We start from the raw sequence: 25334 nt of genomic DNA on the forward strand, positions 1-25334 counted from the left end.
TAAATTTCTGCCTGCCCTCAATGGAGTGTGGTGAGCCCCTAGAGGGCAAAGGCTGTATTTAATTCACTTTTGTATCCTTTGTGATTTCTATTTGGGATGTGGCTCACAGAGGGTTTAATGTCAGAATTAATTTCTATGAGAAAGAGTTAAAGCCCTGTTTTTGACTTTCTAGATATTTTTTTCTTTTCTTAGCAAAGAGGACAAGAAATCTTTCATGCCTTTCAGTATCCACTGATTGTTAGAAGTTTCCATAAACATCCTACACCATTCAGGCTTGAAAAGAGGCCTGCTTCCTTCAGTTTTTATAATGCCTATGATGTATATGATTTACTGGTAAAGCTAAAAACTGCTTAGAAACAGTTTCCCTGTAAAGCTAAATTATGTTGGTAATTAGTAACTTACAGTATTTTCCAAGTATTTAGAAGTTTCCAAATCCTTTTTATTAAAAATTCAGAGAGGGGAGTCTCACTTTGTTGCCCAGGCTGAATTGCAGTGGCTACTCCCAGATGTGATCACAGCTCACTGCGACCTCAACCTCCCGGGCTCAAGTGATCCTCCTGCCTCAGCCTCCCAAGTAGCTGGGACCACACATGTGCACCACCATGCCTGGCTACATTTTGTATTTTTTGGTAGAGATGAGGTTTTGCCATGTTGCCCAGGCTAGTAATTAAACTTTTTTTGTGTGTGTGGAAATGGGGTCTTATTATATTGCCCAGGCTGGTCTCAAACTCCAGGACATGAGCCACTGTGTGTGGCTCCAACTACTTCCTTTTACAAATGCAAGAATACAACATATAACTGAGTATGGGGAAATGTAGGTTTCCAAGAAAAACTCTTGTAATATATAGCTTGTACTAAAAAAAAAAGCCAAGAATTAAACAAAAAATGTATAATCATCATCGTTTTCATCACTACTGTTATAAATGAATGAAAATGGGGCTCTTGAGTACTTTGCTTTTAAAACTGTAAACTTCTCTATACATAGATGGTACCCCTATTTCCTGGAATTGGTTCTGAGGTTAGAAATGGATTCATCTTCAGTTAGATAGGGAGGGAAAGAGAAACTAACATTAGCTGAGGGCTTACTATTAGTTGGAACTTTGACAGACATTTTACACATACTATCATTTAATTTTCTCGGTAGCCTTGTAGGAGAGTATTGTTATCACTACTTTTGGGAATAAAGGATGGCATAGGGAGATTAAATATCCTGCCAAAAATTATAAATGTTTTTGTTGGGGTAGGAAATCAAATCTAATTCCAGTATCTTGCTTTAGCTACATAACTTGTTGCTTTAATGAGTGGTTCACTTATTTGCATATCTACTCTGTGCTAGGTACTTTATATAATAAAAAAGGAAACATAATTTAAGTAGGAAACATTATTAGATGTTAAAATTTTAAATATAAAATGATGACCTGAGTAAATGGCATTCTTTAAGTGTATCTATATTATCTTATATTTGTATCAACACACTGCATAAAAGAAATATGCATACAATTTATTATTATAGTGCAGCACTATTCACAATAACAAAGACATGGAAACAACCTAGATGCCCATCAACAGTGGATTGGATAAAGAAAATGTGGTACACATACACCATGGAACACCATGAAGTCATAAAAAAGAACAAAATCATGTCCTTTGCAGCAACATGGATGCAGCTGGAGGCCATTATTCTAAGCAAATTAACACAGGAACAGAAAACCAAATATTGCATGTTCTCACTTATAAGTGAGAGCTAAATTCTGGATACACATAGACATAAAGATGAAAACAATAGTAACTGGGACTCCAAAAAAAGGGAGGGAGGGAAAGGGAGAAGGGCTGAAAATCTTCCTATTGGGTACTATGTTCACTCTCTGGGTGTCATGCCGTCAGAAGAAGCCCAAACGGCAGCATCACACAATATACCCTTGTAACAAACCTGCACAGGTACCCCCTGAATCTAAAGTAAAAATAAAAAATTTAAACTTATTATTACAGTATTTTATTGTGTGCTAATAATTTTCTATTGATGTATGATTATTATTACAGTATTATATTTTATTGTCTGCTAATAATTTTCTATTGATGTATGATTGTTTTTTCCTACTACTTTTGTGATTTAGGATGTAGACATATTTTTATCACTAATATTTGTTTACACTGCAAAATAATTTGATATAAACTTGACTTTAGCATTTTAATCTCAGCCAAGATAACACTGTCATTAGAGAAATGACTATAATTTAATTTATAATTATAAATTGATTTATTCATAATTGATTCTTGCCTATCCATATATCTGTTGCAAGGCATTCTCAGAATTGTATAATGTTGCTATTATGTACAAGCTGTCAAGCTTTTAGAACTAAGAAGAGTTTAGTGTAGGTTAAAACTAAAAACAATCATAATGTTTAAATTCTTGATCATTTAATAATCATCATTTTATGTAATATTTCAAGTTTATCTCATATTACAGTCTAAAACCATAAAGAACATCTTTGTGTATTCATTCCAGGCTTTTTGGATGCTTTCACCCAATAGTGTGGCTTTTCTAAGCTATATTTCCTAAATTATATTTTGTGCAACAGAGGGTGGTGGGTGGGGCATTCAGCCTGCAGACATTTTCAACAGAAAATCCATCATTTGCAACATCAGCTGTCAGCACAGGTGCCCTGAATCCAGCGGTCCACCCAGTTCTGTGAACGGAAAAACTGACACAGGACTATGAAGCAGTTGTCTGATATCATCTGGGCAGGAAATGGAGAAGGCTGAACTTTGAACTAATGCTAATAATTTCCAAATCCTTCTAAAATTAGATGATGGTTTGGGTATATATAATTGTGATGGAGGTATATTCCCTTATTACTTATGTTTGGTATATTTTAGATAAAAATTTAACAGAGAGAGAGAGAGGGAGAGAGAAAACACAAATTCTAACACGCAGCACTTTCATCCCCTTTGGCCAAGTATAGTCATAAAATAACCTTCAATGGTGACTCTACCTTAGGTAAATAAATTTAACTATATAGAGCAGTTAAAAATATGTTATAGTTTAACAATGTATTTCCAATTCCACCAGAAGGGGAAGGCCAAAGATAGTATTAACAGTAATTGTTTAATTACTTTATTACATCACCATTACTATGAATATAAAGAATTTGGTGTCTTATGAATGAATTAATGAACTAAATTATGAAGATTGCTATTTCAATGTCAAAAGTTAAAAAGACTTTGTGGCTCCATCTTTCCTGAGCTTTGTCGTGAGATGTTTACTGATTTTGCCAAAACTCCAACTATATCTGTTTGTTTAGTCATAGAAAATATTACTTCCTCTCCATTTTTTTTTTTTTGCCTAATTTCTCTGGACAGAATTAATTACTCAGTCCTCTCTGAACTCCTACACTGCTTGGGCAGTATCTTTATTCTGGCCTATGCACTGAGCATAATTACCATTTATATGACTCTCGTTTCTAGTCTGTGACCTCCTTGATTTTATAGACTGTTTCTTATTTCTTACTGGTCCCTGGCATTCAGGTCATTGCTTGACGTTAATAAATTCCATGAAGCTCAATCTAGTTTCACATATAGTAGTGGTTCTCAAAGTGGATCCTGGTTTCATCTGGATTGGAATCACCTAGGTGTTTGCTAAAAGTAGTTTTCTGTGCTCAACAGCAGATCTACTTAAACAAAATCCCTGGGGTTGGGCACAGGACTAACAAGGACTCCAGGTCATTGTCATGCACAGCAACATTTTTTTGGTAATAGTTTTATTGAGAAATAATTCACATTCCATACAATCCCCCCATTTCATGTGCCATCACAGCATTTTTTTTTAAATTTTCACAGAGCTGTGCAACAATCACTGTAAATCAATTTTATAACATTCAATTAGCCCCAAAATAAATACAGGTCCTTTAGCAGTCATTCTCCATATCCCCTAATGCTAAGCAACCACTAAGATATTTTCTGTCTGTATAGATTTAGCTATCTGGACATTTCATATAAATGGACTACAAAATATGAGGTCTTTTGTGCCTGGCTTCTTTCACTTAGCATGATGTTTTCAAGGTTCATTCAAGGTTCATCAGTGCCTTGTTCCTTTTTATTGATTCTATTGTGTGACTATACTACATTTTATCTATCCATTTCTCAGCTGATGGTTGCCACTCTTTGGCTATTATGAATAATGCTGTTATAAATATTTTTGTATCATTTTTGTGTGAACACATTTCATTTCTTTTAGGTAATATTTACCTAGAAGTAGAGTGTCCAGGTCATATAGCAACTCAGTTTTATCTTTTAAGGAACTGCCAAACTGTTTTCCTAAGTAGCTGTAGCTGTACTTAAAACTGTAGTGTTAAGTTTCCAATTCTCTACATCCTTGCCAGCATTTTTTATTGTCTATTTTTAAAATTATAGTTATCCTCATGGATATAAAGTACTATCTTGCTGTAGTTTTGATTTCACTGATGGCTAGTGATGTTAAACATCTTTTAATATGCTTGTTGGTCATTTGTACATCTTCTAGGGAGAAATATCCATTGAAATCTTTTGTCCATTTTTTGGGTTGTTTGTGTTTCTATTATTGAGTTGTAAGATTTGCGTATTGTAGCTACATGTCCCTTATTAGATACATGATTTGCAAATATTTATTTTCTTCCATTCTATGAGTTGTCTTTTCACTTCCTTGAAGGTATCCTTTGAAGCACAAAATTTTTAGTATTAATGAAGTTCAATTTTTTTTTGCTGCTGTTTGTGCTTTTGTTGGCTTATCTAAGAAACCACTGACTAATTCAAGGTCATAAAGATTTACAGCTGTTTTCGTTTATGAGTTTTGTAGTTCTAGCTCTTATGTGTAGGTCTCTGGTCCATTTTGAGTCAATTTTTGTCTTCAACTTCATTTTTTTGCATGTGGATATCTGGTTGTTTCTGCTCCATTTGTTGAAAAGACTCTCTTTTTCCCATTGAATTGTTTGACCCTTGACAAAAATCAGGTAGCCATAATGTGTGGCACAACAAAATTTTAGAATATGTGTCTATTGGAATTGTGACCTGGACATTATAATAAGAGTAAAAAGGTAAAATCATTAACTTCAGATAGTTTTAATGATTATTAGTCTTGACATGTGTTTGTAATTCCAAATTTGATATGAAGTGGGTGTTGTAAGAATTGGAAATGCTGAGGTAAGGGTTAATGGGAAGACTTGTCTTGTGCTTTACAATGTAAATTATTATTATTATTTATACTTTAAGTTCTGGGATACATGTGCAGAATGTGCAGGTTTGTTACATAGGTATACATGTGCCATTGTGGTTTGCTTTTGCTGCATCCATCAACCCATCATCTACATTAGGTATTTCTCCTAATGGCTATCCCTCCCCTTGCCCCCCATACAATGCAAATTATAAAATCAAGAAGCTTACTTGGTAAAATGGTCTTATAGCGATTTTTAGTTCCATGACGCGGAATATCAATTTCTTTGGGATCCACAAAGTTCATTGGTATTTCCTGCAAAAATAAATAATATCAAATTAGTGTATCTAATACTGCCACAAAGAAAATCTTCACAGGGGGGCATCTGATCCAGAGTTCTATTGGACTTCAAAGCCACTTAAAAACAACAGATCTAGCACCTCTGGTGGACCAACACCCTTCCTTTCCTAAACATATCAGCTGCATCCGGACAAGCTGACTTCTAAGAAACAGCTCTGTGTGTTAGAAAATATTGCTTAATATGTAGTCAGTAAGGAGACATATAACACTGGTTAGATTTTAAGAATCCTGCTGTGACATAATTGCTAGAAAGATTAGACAGATGCTAAAAAGTGAATTTTTTTAAAAAACAATGTATTCAAATATATTCCAGTTTTTACATAACTTTAGTACCAAAAATTTTACTATAATAGATTATCTTTTCACACTAATAGTGACTCTTTTAGGATTATTAAAACCTCTTTCCCAAAATGGTAAATATAAAGGGCTTTTTTGTTAATTCAAGTGATGACATGACTTTTTTTTGAATTAAGAAATGGTTTATAACTGGACTGTTCCATTTTAAGTTATAAATGCACTGTTTTTAGTGAAGGGCATTCAAACACTGTTTCTCCCACTTAAGAACATTACTATTCTTATTTTATCAGAGTATACATTATATGCCTCAAGTGATTGGACAGGGAACAATAGGAAAAGAGTGGCTGTATGTAAGTGCATTAGATCTAAAAAGGTGTGTATCTGTAGCTAACCAGGACAAATAAAGCAACAAGCCAAAGTTTTCAAAAGGGTCCAAACAAACATTTGTTTAAAGATTTGATTATACAAAATAGTATGTTCTCTAACTTTGATAAGATTAACATGAACAAAATAACTTTTATGTTATTTAATGACTGATAAACATTAAATATTTGATCAAATAAGATATTTTTACTACTTAAACTTTCTCCAGTAGAAAATTTAACTTAACAGTCTAATATTGATTGAAATAGAAGAAATCATCTTTAAATTCATTCAAATTATCCTAGTTTTCAGTCATTCTGAAAATTTGAGAAAAGCTGGACTATACTATGAATTTGAGGCTTGTTCTACAGAGAGAAACAGCTATTCGTTTATTAATTAATTTATTTTTAGAGATGGGATCTCACTCTGTCACCTAGGTCAGTGTGCAGTGGCACAATCATAGCTCACTGTAACCTCAAACTCCTGGGCTCAAGGCATCCTCCCATCTCAGCTTCCTGAGTAGCTGGGATTACAAGCATGAGCCACAACACCTGGCCCCAAGTTACTTATTTTTAAAATAATTTTTCCTTTACCTGCATTATGCTAGCTATCCATGATATTTATCCCTATTCTCTGCTCCAACTAAATGTTTTAACCTGTTTGTTCCAAGTTATAAAAATAAGCAAAATTGTTGAATATTCAATGGAAAACACATGTTCATGTTTGGTAATTTCAAGCACGTCAGTGTCTTTGGGCAAAGCCACAAAGGTAATATCTTTATTCCTCCCCTTCTTCCTTCTCACCTTCTGTTTTCTGACACACACTGACAGTCTGTCATCTTCCAGCATTCTCTTTCTCCTGTGTACTCCTTCTGGCCTTCAATTTCCTTTCAGGAAAGTGGGCTATGGTAAGGTCTTATTTCATAAACAAAGAGCTGTCTGCAGTTCTAGAAAAAAAAAGCTCTAGGTGTGCCTTTGGCTAGCTGTGTGACCACTGACTTGTTCTTTCATTCCTACAGGTCTCATTTTCTTCACATGTAAAATATGATACACCACAGAGTCTGATTTTCATGTTTGTATTTTACTTTGGACACTTAATAATAGTTGATGGGGCTAATAGTAGATCCAACCCATTGCTGAATCTGTCACCATTAGGATGGCTGCAAATGCCTGAACTAATAATCAATTTATTGTACTCAACCAATACGGCTTAAGATGCAAGAGGTGATCAACAAAGTCAATATTCTCCTTGGGCAACAATTAGACCTAAGAAGGTTTAATCTTACTTCATGTTCTCTGAGTTGATGTATGTTATCATGCTTTAAGCTTTCACTAGCAACACTGGTATGTCTAAAACTGAATTCATCATTCTTTTTAGCCCACACTTGGTCTTCCTCCTGTGTTCCTTATTTCGTTAAAGGGCACCATATGCACCCTGTTGGCCAAACCAAAAACACGAATATCAATCCCTGACTTTTCCATTACTTTTGGCTGCCTCATTCAATTAATCCCACTTCTTGTAGATTCCTACAGATTCTTTCCATTTTCCCTTCTACTATATTAGTTTAGGCCACCAACGCAGTTCCACAGGATTAACACTAGAGCCTCTAAACTGCTCCCTTTTAGTGCCTACTCCACTGCAAATAGAATGATCTATCCAAAACATAAGATAAAGTCCAAGCTCCTAAACATATATTAAGGCTAGGGTTTCTTTTATACTTCTGAGGCTCAACTTTTGCCACTTCCCACCTTGATTTCAATGTTCCAGTTAAACTGAACAGTTTAATTCCCCAGACAGTGACAGCAAGGCTATTCTTTGTCCTGGAATGCCCCTTCTCTGCCCAGCTCCCTATACCACTTATTTGCCTCACCAATTCTTGCATATTCTGCCTTAATTTAGCTCTACATTCCAATTTTAATACTTATCAATAGTGGATGAGACTGAGTGAATCTAAAACCATTTCACTTTGCCATTTGTTTACTGTAGACTGCTTAAGTATAGGACAGTATCATTTCCATACGTCTCTAGTGCCCCATGTATCAAAATACCGACTGAAGAGTGAACAATAAATAGAAGGCTCACCATGAATTCACTTTGGAGTAAATGTGAACTTGCCACGACGTCCCTCAGCTGAGACCTTGTGAGAATTCGGCTGGCTGACTGCAGATACTCCATTGCTACCTTCTCCCGTGGTGTTGGTATAGACACAAAGGGTTCAATGTTCCCCAAGCTACTCATGTCCAATGTAAGAGATACGTTGGACCCTCTTCTACATTGGAGAAGAATGTTATGTTTAAACACCACATACTTATTTTGATTGCAAAAACTTGTCTTTCTGTACATGCACACAATTCAGTGAGAACTTTTACAGAAATAACAACCAACTATATTTTCTCTTTTAGTATCATGGTTGGCCATAGCAACTACCCATAGTTCCTTCACAGGAAAATAACAATTTTGTTGTTGGAAAGAACTCTAAATTGAGAAAATATGCTATAATTTATGAATGCATATACTTATTACAGAAATCATAGGTTGGCTAATAATATTAAGTGAAAAATTAAGTAAAAAAAAATTAGGAAAAGCTATATCTATATCTATATCTTCTGAGTGAATCCCTAAAAAATGGCTTCTGGGGCCAGATGAGGTAGTTCATGACTGCAATCCCAGCACTTTGGGAGGCTGAGGTGGGTGGATTGCCTGAGTTCAGGAGTTCAAGACCAACCTGGGCAACATGGTAAAACCCTGTCTCTACAAAACATACAAAAAGTAGCTGGATGTGGTGACCCACACTTGTAGTCTCAGCTACTAGGGAGGCTGAGGTGAGAGAATCATTTGAGCCCGGGGGGTTGAGGCTGCAGTGAGCCGTGATGGTGCCACTGTACTCCAGCCTGGGCAGCAGAGAGAGACCTTGGCTCTAAAATAAATAAATAAAACAATAGATAAAAATAAAAAAAGATGGCTTCTGTATCCTCTATTTATGTGTATATGTATGCACGCATATGTGAATTGACACACGAATTCATTTAATTTTGTGGTAAACTTATAAGGGGCCATAGAAATCACAGACCCTTAAAATGAGTTACAATTTATCTTCCTCTCATAATTCCCCTTTTCCCGCTGGGGGGCAAGGGGATGCTCTTACAACTTACACAGACCCTGAGTCCTGAGTAGGAAGTGAGGATGCCTTTTACAAGTAATATTAGCTGTGTGGACCAAGGGGTAACTATGAAATAGCATGTGAGAGACTGAGGATTGAAGTCAGAGATGGTGTTTACAAAAACTGTTACATTTAAAGGGGCCGTAGGTGTGTGTCAGATCAAATATAGTGCCAAGCAGTTGGCGGCTCAAGGAAGTAGAGAGCAGGGAAAAACAGGCCAAAATATGTGAGAGTAAAGACAGTAAGAGTAGATGCTAGGCCCAGCAAATTATTCCCTCTGGTATTTTAATACTTACTCTGGAATGCGACATTAAGAAATATTACAGTGGCTTGAGCTTAATTTCAAACAGTGGAAAATTATTGGAATATACAACAACAACAACAAAATCCATTAACGAAAATCTATCAGTTTTCTTCTCTGATGAATCTGCCTCTGGTTGCATTTTTGTTGTCATTCTATAATTTGATATGTAATGTCATTTTTGTTAATTTCTAAATGGTTTGTAATTGAGATTTTAATTTCTACTTTAATTTGATGGATATCTGTAAGTTTAGACATTTATTTTCCTTATAATTTCTAGTTATAGTTGTGGAAATTAGAGAATGGCTGGCCTTTTAATGGTTGAAACTACTTGATTTTTTTTCGAGATAAACACTACATCATTTTCTAAATATTTCACAGATGTTTTGCTGGCATCTAGTTTGATTATCTGTATATGTTCATAAGTATCTATCTGCACATATATACATATATATCACCTTATTTATTATACCATTATTTTATTGAAGATATTACTTTATTCCAACCTATTCTTTCCTTCCTTTTTTTTTTTCTACTGGATTTGTCAAAGCCTGAGATATGTATGTGAGTCTTCCACAATAATTATGCTTGTTATTTTTCCTTCTAACAGTTTTTACCTTGTACATTGCAGCCATTGTGTTATTTGAAGGGATTTAGTCATATCTTCACTATAAATGTTACCAATATTACTTTCTTTCCTGTTAATTTTATATTTGCCCTCACATCTGGCTTTAAAAAATGAATATTGATATGCCTATATGTTTTGGGGGGTATGTTTCTGAAAACTTTTTCTCATCCTATTATTCTTCTTAACTCTTTTGGATCACTGGGTTAGGGATTAGGGAATAGCATTTATTCTAGATGCTCATAAAATCCTGCCTACCTAATAGAGGGATATTTTTCCCACTCCACTTTTTCTTATTTGGTTTTTGGTGGTGGTTGATAGGGTTCCTGTGCTTCTGAGTAGGAGGCAAATAGTTGAAGAAGAGCAAAGAATGGTTCTACTCATGGACCAAGAATTTAATCTATTTTTAGTGGGAAAGTAGTTTTTAAAGTTTTTCAGTTCAGTTCTGGACTTCAAATTGATAGAAAATCCTTACGGATTCTGATAATAGTTTGCCGATTGGTCTTAATATTTAGGGCATTTGTGAGAATTCAGCTTTTGCAAGCTTTATAGATATTTTAGTATGAAGGTGAGAGAGGCCGCTTAAGGGATGGCTAGTCCTATGCCCTTTAAAATCACCATGCCATTCAGTCAAATTTTCAGCCTCAAGAGACAAAATTGTCTGCCCTCTGTCAATGGAGTGATGCTTGTGCTATAGATGGTGAGATCTCTTCCATCTGGAGTGGTCAGAGCAGATTCATGAGGTAGAAGTCATTTAAGTTGGGCTTTGAAAGCAAACGTTTAATAGGTGAGTTTTTGGTCTAGAGTTAAAGAATCTGGTAGGAAAAAAAGTGTAGGAGAATAAATTAATACAACTTTGAAGAACAGCATAGAAGCAGTTTGAGCTAGAGTTCTCTTGTATAAAAATGTATTTTGAAATTGGGGAGCAGGCTTATGTAAGAGAGATGAGAGAGAAGCAACAGTCATAGACACTATAAGACTATAAAAAGCCCAAAAATAGTCCAGGGATGTTGGCTGACATCTGTAATCCCAGCACTTTGGGAGACTGAGGCAGGAGGATCACTTGAGGCCAGGAGTTTGAGACTGGCTTGGGCAACATAGCAAGACCCTGTCTCTACAAAAAATAAAATAGCTAAGTGTTGTGGTGCTTGCCTGTAGTCTCAGCTATTCGGGAGGATGAGGCCGGAAGATTGCTTGAGCCCAGGAGTTCGAGGCTGCAGTGAGGTAAGATTGCACCACTGTCGTACTCCAGGTTGGGTGACAGAGTGAGACCCCATGTCAAAAATAAATAAATAAATAAATACATAAATAACGAAAAAAAAAGCCAGATAAAAGAGGATCCAGAACATCATCAGGGTGTATTAATTTCTGTTTTGACTTCCCACAGTATACGCTGCCTAAACCTGGGAGATTAGAAGCCTTTGACATCCCGTGTCTAAGGTCTATTTGATTTAATGAGTTAATTTTCTAAGGATTCTGTGGTAAGCAGAGAGCTGTGGAAGCATTTTCATGCTAACTGACTTAAATAATAACCATTTATATATTACAGTCAGAAAGACATTTCAAAAACAAGATAAACATATAAACTTATGGGAAAATTCTAATTAAGACGTATAAAAAAATTGACAGAATTTAGAAAAAAAATCAACATAAATAATAGGAGAACTATACCTTTAATAAAAAAGGAATGTGGAAAGCAAGAAAACGAACTCTACTGAAAGCTTTACTTTTATTTTGTCTTGGAACTGTGGGCAAACTGTTTAGCCTTTTTAATGCCTCATGATTGCTGTTGGACAAAAGGGAACATAATAAAAAGCTTTATCAAGCTCCTGCTGCAGCACCAATTATTATTTATGCCAAAAAATAAATAAGAGGGAGGAAATTCAAAAGATACCAATGCAAACAATTGAAGGAAAAAGCAAATTCTTAGGGAAAGGTAAAAGGAATGCAATAAACAGCATGCTAATTATAATTAACTAAAAAGGAAAATATGTATAAATATTATGGGCCAGGGCGACACATCCATTTCAGCAAGAGAATATAAACAACTTTGGGTCAAAATTGTTCAATTCTAATGACATCAGTTTCTAATGACTTAGAGGTGGGAAGAAAACGTAGCTAAAAATACAGTAACATTACAACTGAGTGTTGGAATAACTCAGAAACCAGGCATTTATTTTCCCGGTAGTTGGGGACCATAATGCTAGATTTTAGAAGCTGAATTTAGGAAGAAAGGGCTAAAATTTCTAGTATCATGTCTACGGGCTCTAATTCTCAGACATGCTACTTTTTTTGCAGTACTTTGGTCACTGAGAACAGTGAGACTTCAAGCAGTATACCTCATTTAGCAACCAATAAAGAATGGAAATGGAAGAGGACAAAATGAAACAGATGATCATTTTTTCTTGTAGTCCCGGAAGATGTACTTTTGAAACTGTTGGATTATGAAATTAAGTTTCAGTGGGAAATGGTGGCAGCTGCTTATCTTGAAATACTTGAAATGAGAACGGAAAAATATGGATTTTAAAGATTATAAGAAGAATTTAGTACAGAATGAAAGCAAACAGATTTGACTTCCGAGATTTTTTTTTTTGGTTCTGTGAAAAGTATATATAATTTGTCTGGAGTTGTCTTCATTAGTGTACACGTCAAATCTTATGTGGTGAGAAGCAAGAACTTTAATGTTGATGTTGTCTTCAGAACTGAAAATGTGATCTTGAATCCTTTAGTCCAACTATTCATCCTTGTGTGTTACAGTGGCCATGAATCTGACAATCTTGGCTTGATCATAAAAGGTGACCTTAAACCCTCTCACCCACAACTTATTTAATTTTGCACATACAATTTTTCTACATAGTTTTCTAGAATAACTCTACTTAAACAGAATGAAAAAGGAAAAAAAAAACAAGTTTTTGCTCATTTGAATAACAAAGGAGACAAAAGTGGAGAAATGGAGAGATGGAATTCTTTTACTTTGTGTGGACTGAGTGGCATAGGCAGTTTTTGCAACTCCCAATTCTATGACTTTTAAGTTCCGAGGTTAATGGCATTTAATAATGTTATGCTGTTTCCATCTCTTTATCTTCCAGTAAATTATACATAGTACCAACCCTCTTTCTGGATCACTTGAAAGATGATAGGATAAAACAGAAATAAACACGGACCACTAGGAAAGTTAAATTGTGACATAAATGGAGTGTTACCAATTTCGAGAACTGAAATAAATGAGTAGGTATTGTGACCATTCATAATAAAATTTCCCAAAGGAAATCCTGAAGGGAAGAAATAATAATAAATATAAAAGATGCCAGGCATGAACCCAGGAAGATGATATATGAATTTCACCCTAAAGTAAAAAGAAAATCTTTTAACATAGAGAACATTTTTAGTGTAGGAAATGATCCATTTTCCTACCTGAAAGGACCTACACCTCACTAGGTAGAATGTTGCTATGCCTTTTGATTGAATCTATAAAAGTTTTGAATTCATAAAAAGATGTCTGACCTTTTATATGTGTATAGGACAAGGCAAAATTTACTACACCCTTATTTTACAAAAAAAATTCAAAACAATCATTTAAAAGAACCAGATACATTGAACTTGTCACATTACTCTTGAAATATTGACCTTGGAAAATGCGTTCAATCATTGTTCTGCATTTCGCTTAAGCAACTTGGACCTTAGACTGCATAATCTGCAAATGGGAATAATAATAAAACTCACAAAATTGACTCACACCATAAAAGATAAATAAGCAAGAATATGTGAATACTTCCACCCTAATGTCTGGGATATAATAAACATATATGAATTATTATCATAATTAATAATAACATGGTGATTTTTGCTTCACTCTCTATTTACACAGCTATGTGGGAGCTACATGAGTACACACTGATGAACATTTGAGGGAGGTAAAGTTGAGAAAATTGGTTAGTGATTAAGAGTTAGCAGCAGTATCACACATGCAAAATCAATGGTCGTCTAAGTTGGGACTATTTTTCATACTTCAAGTCCTTAACATTTATACCTAATGTCTTTAAAGTTAACAATGTTTTCATGATTCAAAAATAATGCATGTTAACTAAAGCTAAAAATAGAGATTTTACAAATTTCATAATACCCATATTTAGAGTAACTGCTAAGAACATTTTTTGTGTATGTCCTTCAAGTCCTTATATGTATGACAAAAATCTAGATTTTTATTCAATATATTCTTTTATGATTTACTTTTAAAAAAAGGAAGTAGGCACAGAACCATTGCATATGATTTACTTTTTAAAAAAACTATATCATGAATGTCTTTTCATGTCCTCAAATTTTTTTAAACACTGTTTTCAAACATTTGATAGTATCCCATTATTGAGATGTGTCATAGTTATTTAACCAATACTTTATTTTTGGACATTGAGTCATTTTCAATTTTTTCACCATTATAAACAAAACTGTAATGAACATCCTTGTACTTCAATGTTTGTGCATTTCCCTAATTACTTTTCAGTCAAGAAGTCTTAAAAACTAACTCAAAATCTCTTGAGTTTGGAGAAGTCAGTGGGCACTCGCAGTGTGGAAGAGGCATGAAGACAGACTCTTGGAGCTCGCTGATATTGATGTAGCTCAAACTCTCTTCCTCTTTGGTTCAGACCTTTGCAGTTGTTCCTTAGCAAGGCTTCCTAACTCTAAAATCTCCTAGTTCAGTAGATTTTTTCCAGATTTCACTGGAATATCTGAGCACTGAAAATATGATAAAACCTGCAAGTAGCTACCCTTTTGACGTAAGATGCTTCCTAATCTATCTACTGTGTATTTCTCCATCCTCATCTCCTGTCACATTCTCATCCGGACCTGTGTCCCAGGCAGACAATCTACCTGCAGTTCTGTTCTCTATGCCTCAAATGTGCTTGCCCCAACACTTTCAGGTTCAATCCTCCAAATGCCAGGGGCTCTTTCCTCTGAGACTTCCTAGCAATTTTCCCAATATGTATCCAATATATATCATATTCACTAGAAATGATTTGCAGTAAAGTGTGAACACATTGAGGCCAAAGACTTTGACTTGAGTTCTCCTGTTGTACCCAGTCATGAACAGATGGAGAGCAACACTTTTGGCATCTGCGTGGATGAATAGTTGCAAATGAATTGGTTAGGGGGATGCTATATGTAATTACTGTGCTTTGACGGTTTTTCCAGTCCTCTGAAAATACAGGAATTGGGGGGACTATATTAAACAGGAGTCTGAAAATTTGGAGTGTAGAAGCCAAGCTTACATAGGTAAATGTTACAGTTGTGATTCAGTTTGAATCTTGTTTAAGCATCAATAAAGTCTGAGCATTAACATCCTAAAGTTACATCCTATGTTAATTTTATTCAGAAAAAGGAAGAAAATGTACTGCTTTGTTTTGTAACCAAGGATGATTAATTTTTACTCCTTTTTTTTTTGTCATTTGGTATTGTTTTGACTGTCATTCATGGTGAGGAGGCTGTTTCCCTTTCAACAAAATAACAAAATGATAGTAGTTCTATTTTTAGTTCCTAAGTTAATTTTTCCTAGTTTATATAATTATTTAAGAAAAAGATGCTAAAAAAATTAATAAATCTCAATGACTAAGCCATTCCTTGTGAAATGAGAAGTCTTCTTTGAATTTCAGCTGATTTAAATATAAATACAAATACAAACACACACACACACACACACACACACACACGGCATTTTCTAAGTAGCACAATACAATGAATAACCTCCTGTCTCTTTATGCAATCAACTACCAAAGAACCCTTTTAATCCTGATCATTACAAATAAATTAAATATATTCATTTATTTGTAAGGCCAGAAATGACACCTATTGTCCTGATACCAAAACCTGGCAGAGATTCAATAAAAAAAGAAAACTTCTGGCCAGTATCCTTGATGAACATTGATACACTAATCCTCAATAAAATACTGGCAAACGAAATCCAGCAGCACATCAAAAAGCTTACCCACTGTGATCAAGTAGGCTTTATCCTGGGATGCAAGGTTGGTTCAACATATACAAATCAATAAATGTAATTCATCACATAAGCAGAACTAAAGACAAAATCACATGACCATCTCAATAGATACAGAAAAGAATAAAATTCAACATCCATTCATGTTAAAAACTCTTAATAAACTAGGTACTAAAGGAGCATACCTCAAAATACTAAGAGCCATATATGACAAACCCACAGTCAACATCATACTTGAATGGGCAAAAGCCGGAAGCATTCCCCTTGAAAATCAGCACAAGACAAGAATGCTTTCACCACTTGTAGTCAACATAGTATTGGATGTCCTGGCCAGAGAAATCAGGCAAGAGGAAGAAATAAAGAGCATTCAAATAGGAAAAGAGGAAGTAAACTATCCCTGTTTGCAGATGACATGATCCTGTTTGCAGATGACATGATCCTATATCTAGAAAACCCAGAGTTTCAGCCCAGAAGCTTCTGAAGCGAATAAACAACTTCAGCAAAGTTTCAGGATACAAAATCAATGTGCAATGTGCAAAAATCACTAGCATTCTTGTACACCAACAACAGTCAAGCCAAGAGGCAAATCAGGAATGAACTCCCATTCACAATTGCCCCAAAAGGATAAAATACCTAGGAATACAGCTAACTAGGGAGATGAAAGACTTCTACAAGGAGAACTGCAAAACACTGCTCAAGTAAATCAGAGATGATACAAACAAATGGAAAAACATTCCACGTTCATGTATAGGAAGAATTAATATTATTAAAATGGCCATACTACCCAAAATGATTTATAGATTCAATGATGGCACTTAATATTAATTAAGCCAAGTTTGTAAGAAATGGCTTACCTGAATTATCTCATTTAACTGTTACAACAATTTTTGAGAAAGACTATTCACAGAACTAGAAAAACTATTTTAAAATTCATATGGAACCAAAAAGGAGCCCAAATAGCCAAGACAATCCTGAGCAAAAAGAACAAAGCTGGAGGCATCATGCTACCTGACTTCAAACTATACTACAGGGCTACAGTAACCAAAACAGCATAGTACTGGGACAAAAACAGACACGGAGACCAATGGAACAGAATAGAGATGCCAGAAATAAGGCTGCACGTCTACAACTATTTGATCTTCAACAAATCTGACAAAAACAAGCAATGGGAAAGTATTCCCTATTCAGTAAATGGTGCTGGGAGAACTGACTAGCCATATGCAGAAAATTAAAACTGGACTCCTTCCTTATATCATATACAAAAATTAACTCAAGATGGCTTAAACGCTTAAATGTAAAAACCCAAACTATAAAAATCCTTTAAGAAAATCCAGACAATACCATTCAAGCCATAGGCAAGGACATAGGCATTTCATGATGAAGATGTCAAAAATGATTTCAACAAAAGGAAAAATTGACAAATGGGATTTAATTAAACCAAAGAGCTTCTGCACAGCAAAAGAAACTATCAACAGAGTATAACAGACAACCTACAGAATGGGGGAAAATTTTTGCCAACTCTGCATCAGACAAAGGTCTAATATCCAGCATCTATAAGGAACCTTAACAAATTTACAAGAAAAAAAATCTCATTAAAAGGTGATCAAAGGACAGGAACAGACACTTCCCAAAAGAAGATATAGGTGCAGTCAACAATCATATGAAAAAAATCTCAACATCACTGATAATTAGAGAAACGCAAATCAAAACCATAATGAGATACCCTCTCACACCAGTTAGAATGGCTACTATTAAAAAGTCAAAAAATGACATATGCTGGCAAGGTTGTGGAGAAAAAGGAATGCTTATACACTGTTGGTGGGAGTGTAAATTAATTCAACCATTGTGAAAGACACGGTGGCAATTCCTTAAAGACCTATAGACAGAAATATCATTCGACCCAGCAATCCCATATACCCAAAGGAATATAAATTGCTCTATTATAAAGACACATTCACACATATGTTCATTGCAGCGCTATTCACAACAGCAAAGACACGGAATCAACATAAATGCCCAGTAATGATGGACTGGATAAAGAAAATGTGCTACATATACACCATGTAATACTATGCAGCCATAAAAAAAGAACGAGATTATGTCCTTTGCAGGGACATGGATGGGTCTGGAGGCCATTAGCCTTAGCAAACTAACACAGGAACAGAAAATCAAACACTGTATATTCTCCCTTATAAGTGGGTGCTAAATGATGAGAACACATGGATATGTAGAGGGGAAAAACACACACTGGAGCCTATTGGAGGGTAGAGAGTGGGAGGAGGAAGAGGATCAGGAAAAATAACTAAGGGGTAGTAGGATTATTTAGTATATTTATATTTAGTATATTTATTTATATTTAGGGGTAGTAGGATAACTAAGGGGTAGTAGGTATTAACCTGGGTGATGAAATAATGTATACAACAAACCCCCATGACACAAGTTTATCTACGTAACAAACCTGCACATGTACCCCTGAACTTAACATAGAAGTCAAAAAAGAGCCCTTTATTTTAATTCCAAATCCTTAAATTTGTTTTTAGTCATTGGAAAGAAACATTTATAAAGTTAAGTATTCACAAAGAAAATTTTTACATTTATGCCAAGGATTATGTATTTTTAAAAGTACCCTTTAATATCTATCTGAAAGATTCTAGATTCCATCTCAGTCATTTGATATAAAAAGCAGATATCTTAAGTCATTAAGCAGGGTACATCAAGGTCTGCCTTTACCTAAAATGAACTCTCAATCAAAATTATGAAAATCTACTCTCTCCAGAGTTTCTCCAAATGTTTACCCAAGAACAGTAAGTTATTTAAATATACATCTCTGTGTTTGTTCAGTGTTCATTTAAAAGTGTACCACCCGCCATGTAATCGTGGGCTTTGGTCAGTTAGGTGCTTTGCAAATAAACCAGGATGACCTTTGCTCCCTACAAGTCACTGGCCTTTCACCTTGGAATTTCAGAGTAGGGAGTGGCTTCTTTTTGGCCAGTGGAGAGTCAATGACTTTGCTGGGTTACTCTGTGGCCACAGATTATATTTAAAGTATCATCAGTCTTCAGGTGGAAGGAAGGAAGGCGCCAATTACCTGGAAGGGCTGTGTTAGAATTAAATGAAGAGAATGCACTTGATTTGATCACCGTGATCAGATTCTTGCCAGTATAAATACACAATCATGTTATCGGTGATGCCTAGTACATGGATGAATGCCTAAATATAAATTATTTAACACAGTTGCCAATAGTTAAAATAAACCTCTCCCCATAAGTAACTGGGATTTGTTGATTTGATGCCATTCATAATAATTCATTTTTTTCTGGGTCCTTCCTCATCCAGTGTCAGATAAAATAATTGCAAGATAACCCTGAAAATCAAATAGCCATTCACTCAAGTGCAGATATTAGGCATACCAGATGAAGTAAAGAGTTTTTATTTTTGATACTGTGTTTTATTATCTATATTATGTCCAAGGAGCAGATAGACTGGTAAAAAATAAGTATTTCTGGAATGCAAAATATACACATTTTAGAGTGAACTGAAATTTGTCACGTAAAGGACGTTTTTATGCTTGCTATAAGAAATATATCCCTTTGCTTTTCCAGAAATAAAAATGTTCTAAATTAGCATGCTTTAACCAAATCAAACAAAATGAAAAAATGCCCAGAAGCAATTCCCAACCAATTTTATATAATATTAATGAGTAATATTTATGATAGAAAACTAAAGTTATATATACTCCCTCCTCTTTTTTATTGAGATCAACTTATGTACAATAAAATTCACATTTCCAAAGTGTAAAATTCAATGGTTTTTATTATAGTCACTTAGTTGTATAAGCATCACTACAATAAATTTTAAAGCATTTTCCTCACTCCCCCCAAAAAAATTCTCCCTGCTCACTGGCAGTTACTCTGTATTTCTCTCTCTCTCCAGGCTCTAGAAACCACTAATATACATGCTGTGTCTGTAGATTTACCTGCTTTGGACATTTCGTATAAATGGAATCATACAACGTATGGCCTCTTGTGTCTTGTCTGACTTCTTTTACGTAGCATAAATGTTTTCACGGTTCATCCATGTTGTAGCATCTATCAGTACTACATTCCTTTTCATGGCACAATATAGTCCATTGTATGGATACACCCACATTTTGTGTATTCATTCATCAGTTGATAGACATTTGGGTTGTTTCTACTTTTGGCTAGTATGAATTATTTTGCTACGAACATTTGTGTTTAAGTTTTGCATGAACATATGTTTTCATTTCTTTTGGGTATACACCTAGGAATGGAATTTCTGGGTTATATGGTAACTACATTTAACTTTTTGAGAAACTACCAAATTCTTTTCCAAAGTGGCTGTACCATTTTATGTTTCCATCTGCAATGTCTGAGATTTCCAATTTCTCCACATTCTTGCTAATACTTGCTGCTGCCTTTTTTTTTTTTTAATAATAGCCATCCTAGTAGGTGTGAAGTGTATCTCATTGTGGCTTTGGTTACATTTCCCTAATGACTGACAATGTTGAGCATGTTTTCTTTGGCTTACTGGACATTTATATATATTCTGTGGATAAATGCCTAATGAAATCCTTGGCCCATTTTTAATTTGGGTTGTCTTTTTATTTTGCGTTGTAAAATTATGTATATATTCTGGACACTAGACCCTTATTACATATATGCCTTCCCATTCTATGAATTGTCTTTTCACTTTCTGATAGTATTTGTGATGATTAATTTTATATGTCAAGTTGAGTGGGCCATGGTTTGCCTGGGTATTTGGTCAAACCTTATTGTGGGTGTTTCTCTGAGCGTGTTTTGGATGAGAGCAACATTTACATTGGAAGACGGAGTGAAGCAGAGCAACCCTCCTAATGTAGTAGGTCTTATCCCATCAGTTATGGAGACACAGCATAGATTAAAAGTGAAGTTTTGGCACTAAGTTATTCTGAAGTAGATACCTGAAGGTATCTCTGTGGTCTTCATGACTGTGTCTGCCTACATTATTATTCAAATAATGTGGTTACTGTTCTAGTCTCACTTCATTTTATATTGAATAGACATATCTATGATATAAATATCTATTAATTCAAAGAAAACAATATCTTGTTTTAATTATTAAAATGTTAATTTAATTATAAAATTAATACATACTTATACTAAAGTTTTCAAATAATGCAGAAGGAAGCAAATGAAAAAGAAAGCCCTCTTCCCCTAGTTCTTCCCGCCTCCTGATTTTCTGGCTCTGCTTCTCACAGCTCACCACAATTTGGGTTATGTACCCTTCTTTCAATTGCCCACGCACTTACAAAGACAAATATAAATTGGATCATAAAATTTCATATAGTTTTGCAACTTTTTCCCTACTTTACATTATATATTGGAAAATTTGTCTTATTAGAACAACAATGTGGATTTCATAATTAAATGCACAATTATATATATATGTTAATAGATATTTATTTCCAATTCTTTTTGCTATTACCAACAATGTTGCCATGGAAAGTCTTCTACTGTATATTTGTTTATTCATGCAAATGTATCTGTACGAACATAATATAAGTTTCTCCTATAGACCAGGTGCAGTGGCTCTCACCTTTACTCCCAGCACTTTGGGAGGCTGAGGCGGGCAGATTGCATGAGCCCAGGAGTTTGAGACCAGCCAAGGGAACATGGCAAAAGCCCATCTCTACAAAAAATACAAAAATTCGCTGGGCATGGTGGTGTGTTCCTGTAGTTCCAGCCACCTGGGAGGCTGAGTGGGAAGATCGCTGGAGCCTAGGGAGGTTGAGGCTACAGTGAGCCGTGATCACGCTACTGCACTCCAGCCTTGGTGACAGAGTGAGACCCTGTCTCCAAAAAAAGTTTCTTCTATATATTGAGTATGCCAAAATAATTTTTTTTTTGTTATTTAAGACATTACGATATCAGGGAACCTGCCCCGATAGTCATGTAGGTTCTTTTCTATTTTCCCTAAGCATCGGCTGGTTTGAGAAATAAAGGGACAGAGTACAAAAGAGAGAAATTTTAAAGCTGGGCGTCCGGGGGAGATATCACATGTCAGTAGGTTCTGTGATGCCCCACAAGCCGTAAAACCAGCAAGTTTTTATTAGGGAGTTTCAAAAGGGGAGGGAGTATACGAACAGGGTATGGGTCACAGACATCAAGTACTTCACAAGGTAATAGAATATCACAAGGCAAATGGAGGCAGGGTGAAATCACGAGACCACAGGACTACAGGACCGGGGCAAAGTTAAAATTGCTAATGAAGTTTCCGGCACCATTGTCATTGATAACATCTTATCAGGAGACAGGGTTTTGAGAGCAACCGGTCTGACCAAAATTTATTAGGTGGGAATTTCTTCTTCCCAATAAGCCTGGGAGCGCTATGCAAGACTGGGGTCTATTTCACCCCTACAGTCTACAGACCATAACAGATGGCCACGCCCAGGGGGGCCAGTTCAGAGACCCACCCCCAGGCGCGTATTCTCTTTCCCAGGGATGTTCCTTGCTGAGAAAAAGAATTCAGCGATATTTCTCCCATTTGCTTTTGAAAGAAGAGAAATATGGCTCTGCTCCGCCCGGCTCACTGGTGGTCAGAGTTTAAGGTTCTCTGTCTTGTTCCCTGAACATTGCTGTTTTCCTGTTCTTTCTTCAAGGTGCCCAGATTTCATATTGTTCAAACACAGGTACTCTACAATTTGTGCAGTTAATGCAATTATCATAGGGTCCTGAGGCGACATACATCCTTCTCAGCTGACAGGATTAAGAGATTAAAGTAAAGACAGGCATAGGAAATCACAAGGGTATTGATTGGGGAAGTGATAAGTGTCCATGAAATCTTTACAATTTATGTTTAGAGATTGCAGTAAAGACAGGCATAAGAAATTATAAAAGTATTAATTTGGGGGACTAATAAATGTCCATGAAATCTTCACAATCCAGGTTCTTCTGCCAAGGCTTCAGCCGGTCCCTCCGTTTGGGGTCCCTGACTTCCCGCAACCTTACATAAAGCAGCCTCTTTACCTCTTTTATCTATCAGCTTCTAAGTGTTTATAACAGGATAAAATCATTAAAATACTGGAATTCTAGACATGCTAGAAAACACTCAGATTGGGTCCACTATATATGTACTCTAACTTTATCTCCCATTTTTGGGTAGAATTGTTAATAATTTTCAATTTTTTTCTATTGTCTGTCTTCTAAGTAAAAAAAAAAAAAAAGTTTGCCTCTAATGAAATTTATGTATTTGTAAATTATATACATGTACTATTATACTTATGTATTATGCAAATTATGAAATATTTACAAAATTTGAAGTAGGAAAGGGCAAGATAAATGTACTTTTTTTGTAATATATATGTTTTACACCCTAATGGATCATTTTACACATTTCTTGGGATGCACATGCCCCACTTTGAGACCACTCTCTCAATTATCTAGACTTACATAGGTAATGGTAACTTTTTTCAGCCACTTTGGATATACAAGACAGTAAGCACCTAGGACCTATGGTATCTACCATATCAGCTACAAGTACTATTCATCAAAGATTATTTAAAATAGCATTTTGCTGGGCGTGGTGGCTCATGGCTGTAATACCAGCTACTTGGAAGGCTGAGGCAGGAAGGATCACTTGAGCCCAGGAGTTCAAGGCTGCAGTGAGCTATAATTGTGCCACTGCACTCTAGCCTGGGGACAGAACAAGTCCCTGTCCCATAAAATAAAATCATTTTGTGTATCACAGAAGACACTTCAGTCTTCCCTATAGATATGCAACTGGTAATCATTAAGTTCTCACTGCAAGAATATATCATCCAAATCACTACTATAACCATAAAGACAAAATTAAAATGTTCTAAACTTACTATATTCAACATTTCTCTCAGGCAGATGGCAGTGAAGAATATGTAAAAACAGACTTTTAAACAACGGCTACAAGAATATTCTTTGTTTCTCTAACATACTATTCTTCCTCAGGTATTGTTTTATGAGTTAATTCATTATTTCTTTTCATCAGAGATCTTTTAATATAAAAATCATAATATTTATCTGGACAACTCTTAATTTCTGATACTCAATAATGACATTTTTATTATATCTCCAATATATGTTTCTGTGAATGACATAATAATGAACACAGAAAATCTTTAAAAACATTGAGCACTAACATTCTTTTCAAATAAAGAGAGAGTGTTAGGTGAGAATAACTTCTGATACCAGCTAACTCTGTCATCTTAGCATATTAAGCTGTCCTAAGCTATACCAGTGACATTTCATTCTGAAAATGATCATTTCTGATGAAAATGAACTCAAGAAATACACAAATGAGTCTAAGTACTGAAAGACTCTAACAAAGGATTACAAGGGATAGGGTCACCAAATTGAGCAAACACAAGCACAAGACTCGCCCCAGTTAGATTTTGAAAAATAGCTCTATCACATTTTTGTAATTTAATGAAAAAATGCTTAGTACAGGACATGCAGCACATCCTGACAAAGTCAATACAAGACACAGGACAAAATTGTTAAATACAGAACATGTCCCATATCTACAGAATGCCTGGCTAACCTAACAAGATGGAACACAATTGACCTAATTTTAATTTCTTCCATGCATCCGGGCATTTCCTGTGTGCATGGCAGGGATTTGTAGGTGTGAAAAGGAAAATAAGAATGAAATACAAAGGAGTTTCCAAACTGACTAGAAATGAATTATTTCTTCTGTTTATCATAATGTTTTGCATTGATTCCAAAGGAAAAAAAATAGTATTTGCTTTTATTACATATTAAACAATTATCATATAAAACCTGATAATTGGTCAGTAATTTTCCTGTAATAATGCTTATTGATTTCTGGCATGAATAGGCATCTATGCTAAGAAAAGAAAAATACAATCTTCTTTTTAAAAATACTATACAGCCATGGTATTTGAAAAGTCTCTCAAATACTAACTGTCTGAATCAGGATAAAATGACTTTTAGAAAACCCATTACTTTGATTTAAATGTTATATTTTTTATAGAATTGGAATTGCTTCTTGTCTGCCGAACAT

General features: G+C 35.1%; 1 protein-coding gene across 9 annotated transcripts in view; it reads right to left on the reverse strand.

Annotated features, from left to right (window-relative positions):
• PTPRR (protein tyrosine phosphatase receptor type R) overlaps nt 1–25334 on the reverse strand; it is a 282666-nt gene that overhangs the window by 54777 nt on the left and 202555 nt on the right. For 8 of the 9 annotated variants that reach the window (XM_011538615.3, NM_001207016.1, NM_002849.4 and 5 more), the window contains 2 exons: nt 8288–8474; nt 5416–5500 (listed from right to left, as the gene is read on the reverse strand). In XM_011538615.3, the coding sequence (XP_011536917.1) occupies nt 5416–5500; nt 8288–8474 (272 nt within the window). The remainder of the gene's footprint in view (nt 1–5415; nt 5501–8287; nt 8475–25334) is intronic. The other variant, NR_073474.2, reaches the window with a different exon arrangement.

Source organism: Homo sapiens, chromosome 12 (assembly GCF_000001405.40).
Source record: "Homo sapiens chromosome 12, GRCh38.p14 Primary Assembly".
In the NCBI taxonomy this organism is placed as follows: Eukaryota; Metazoa; Chordata; class Mammalia; order Primates; family Hominidae; genus Homo; species Homo sapiens.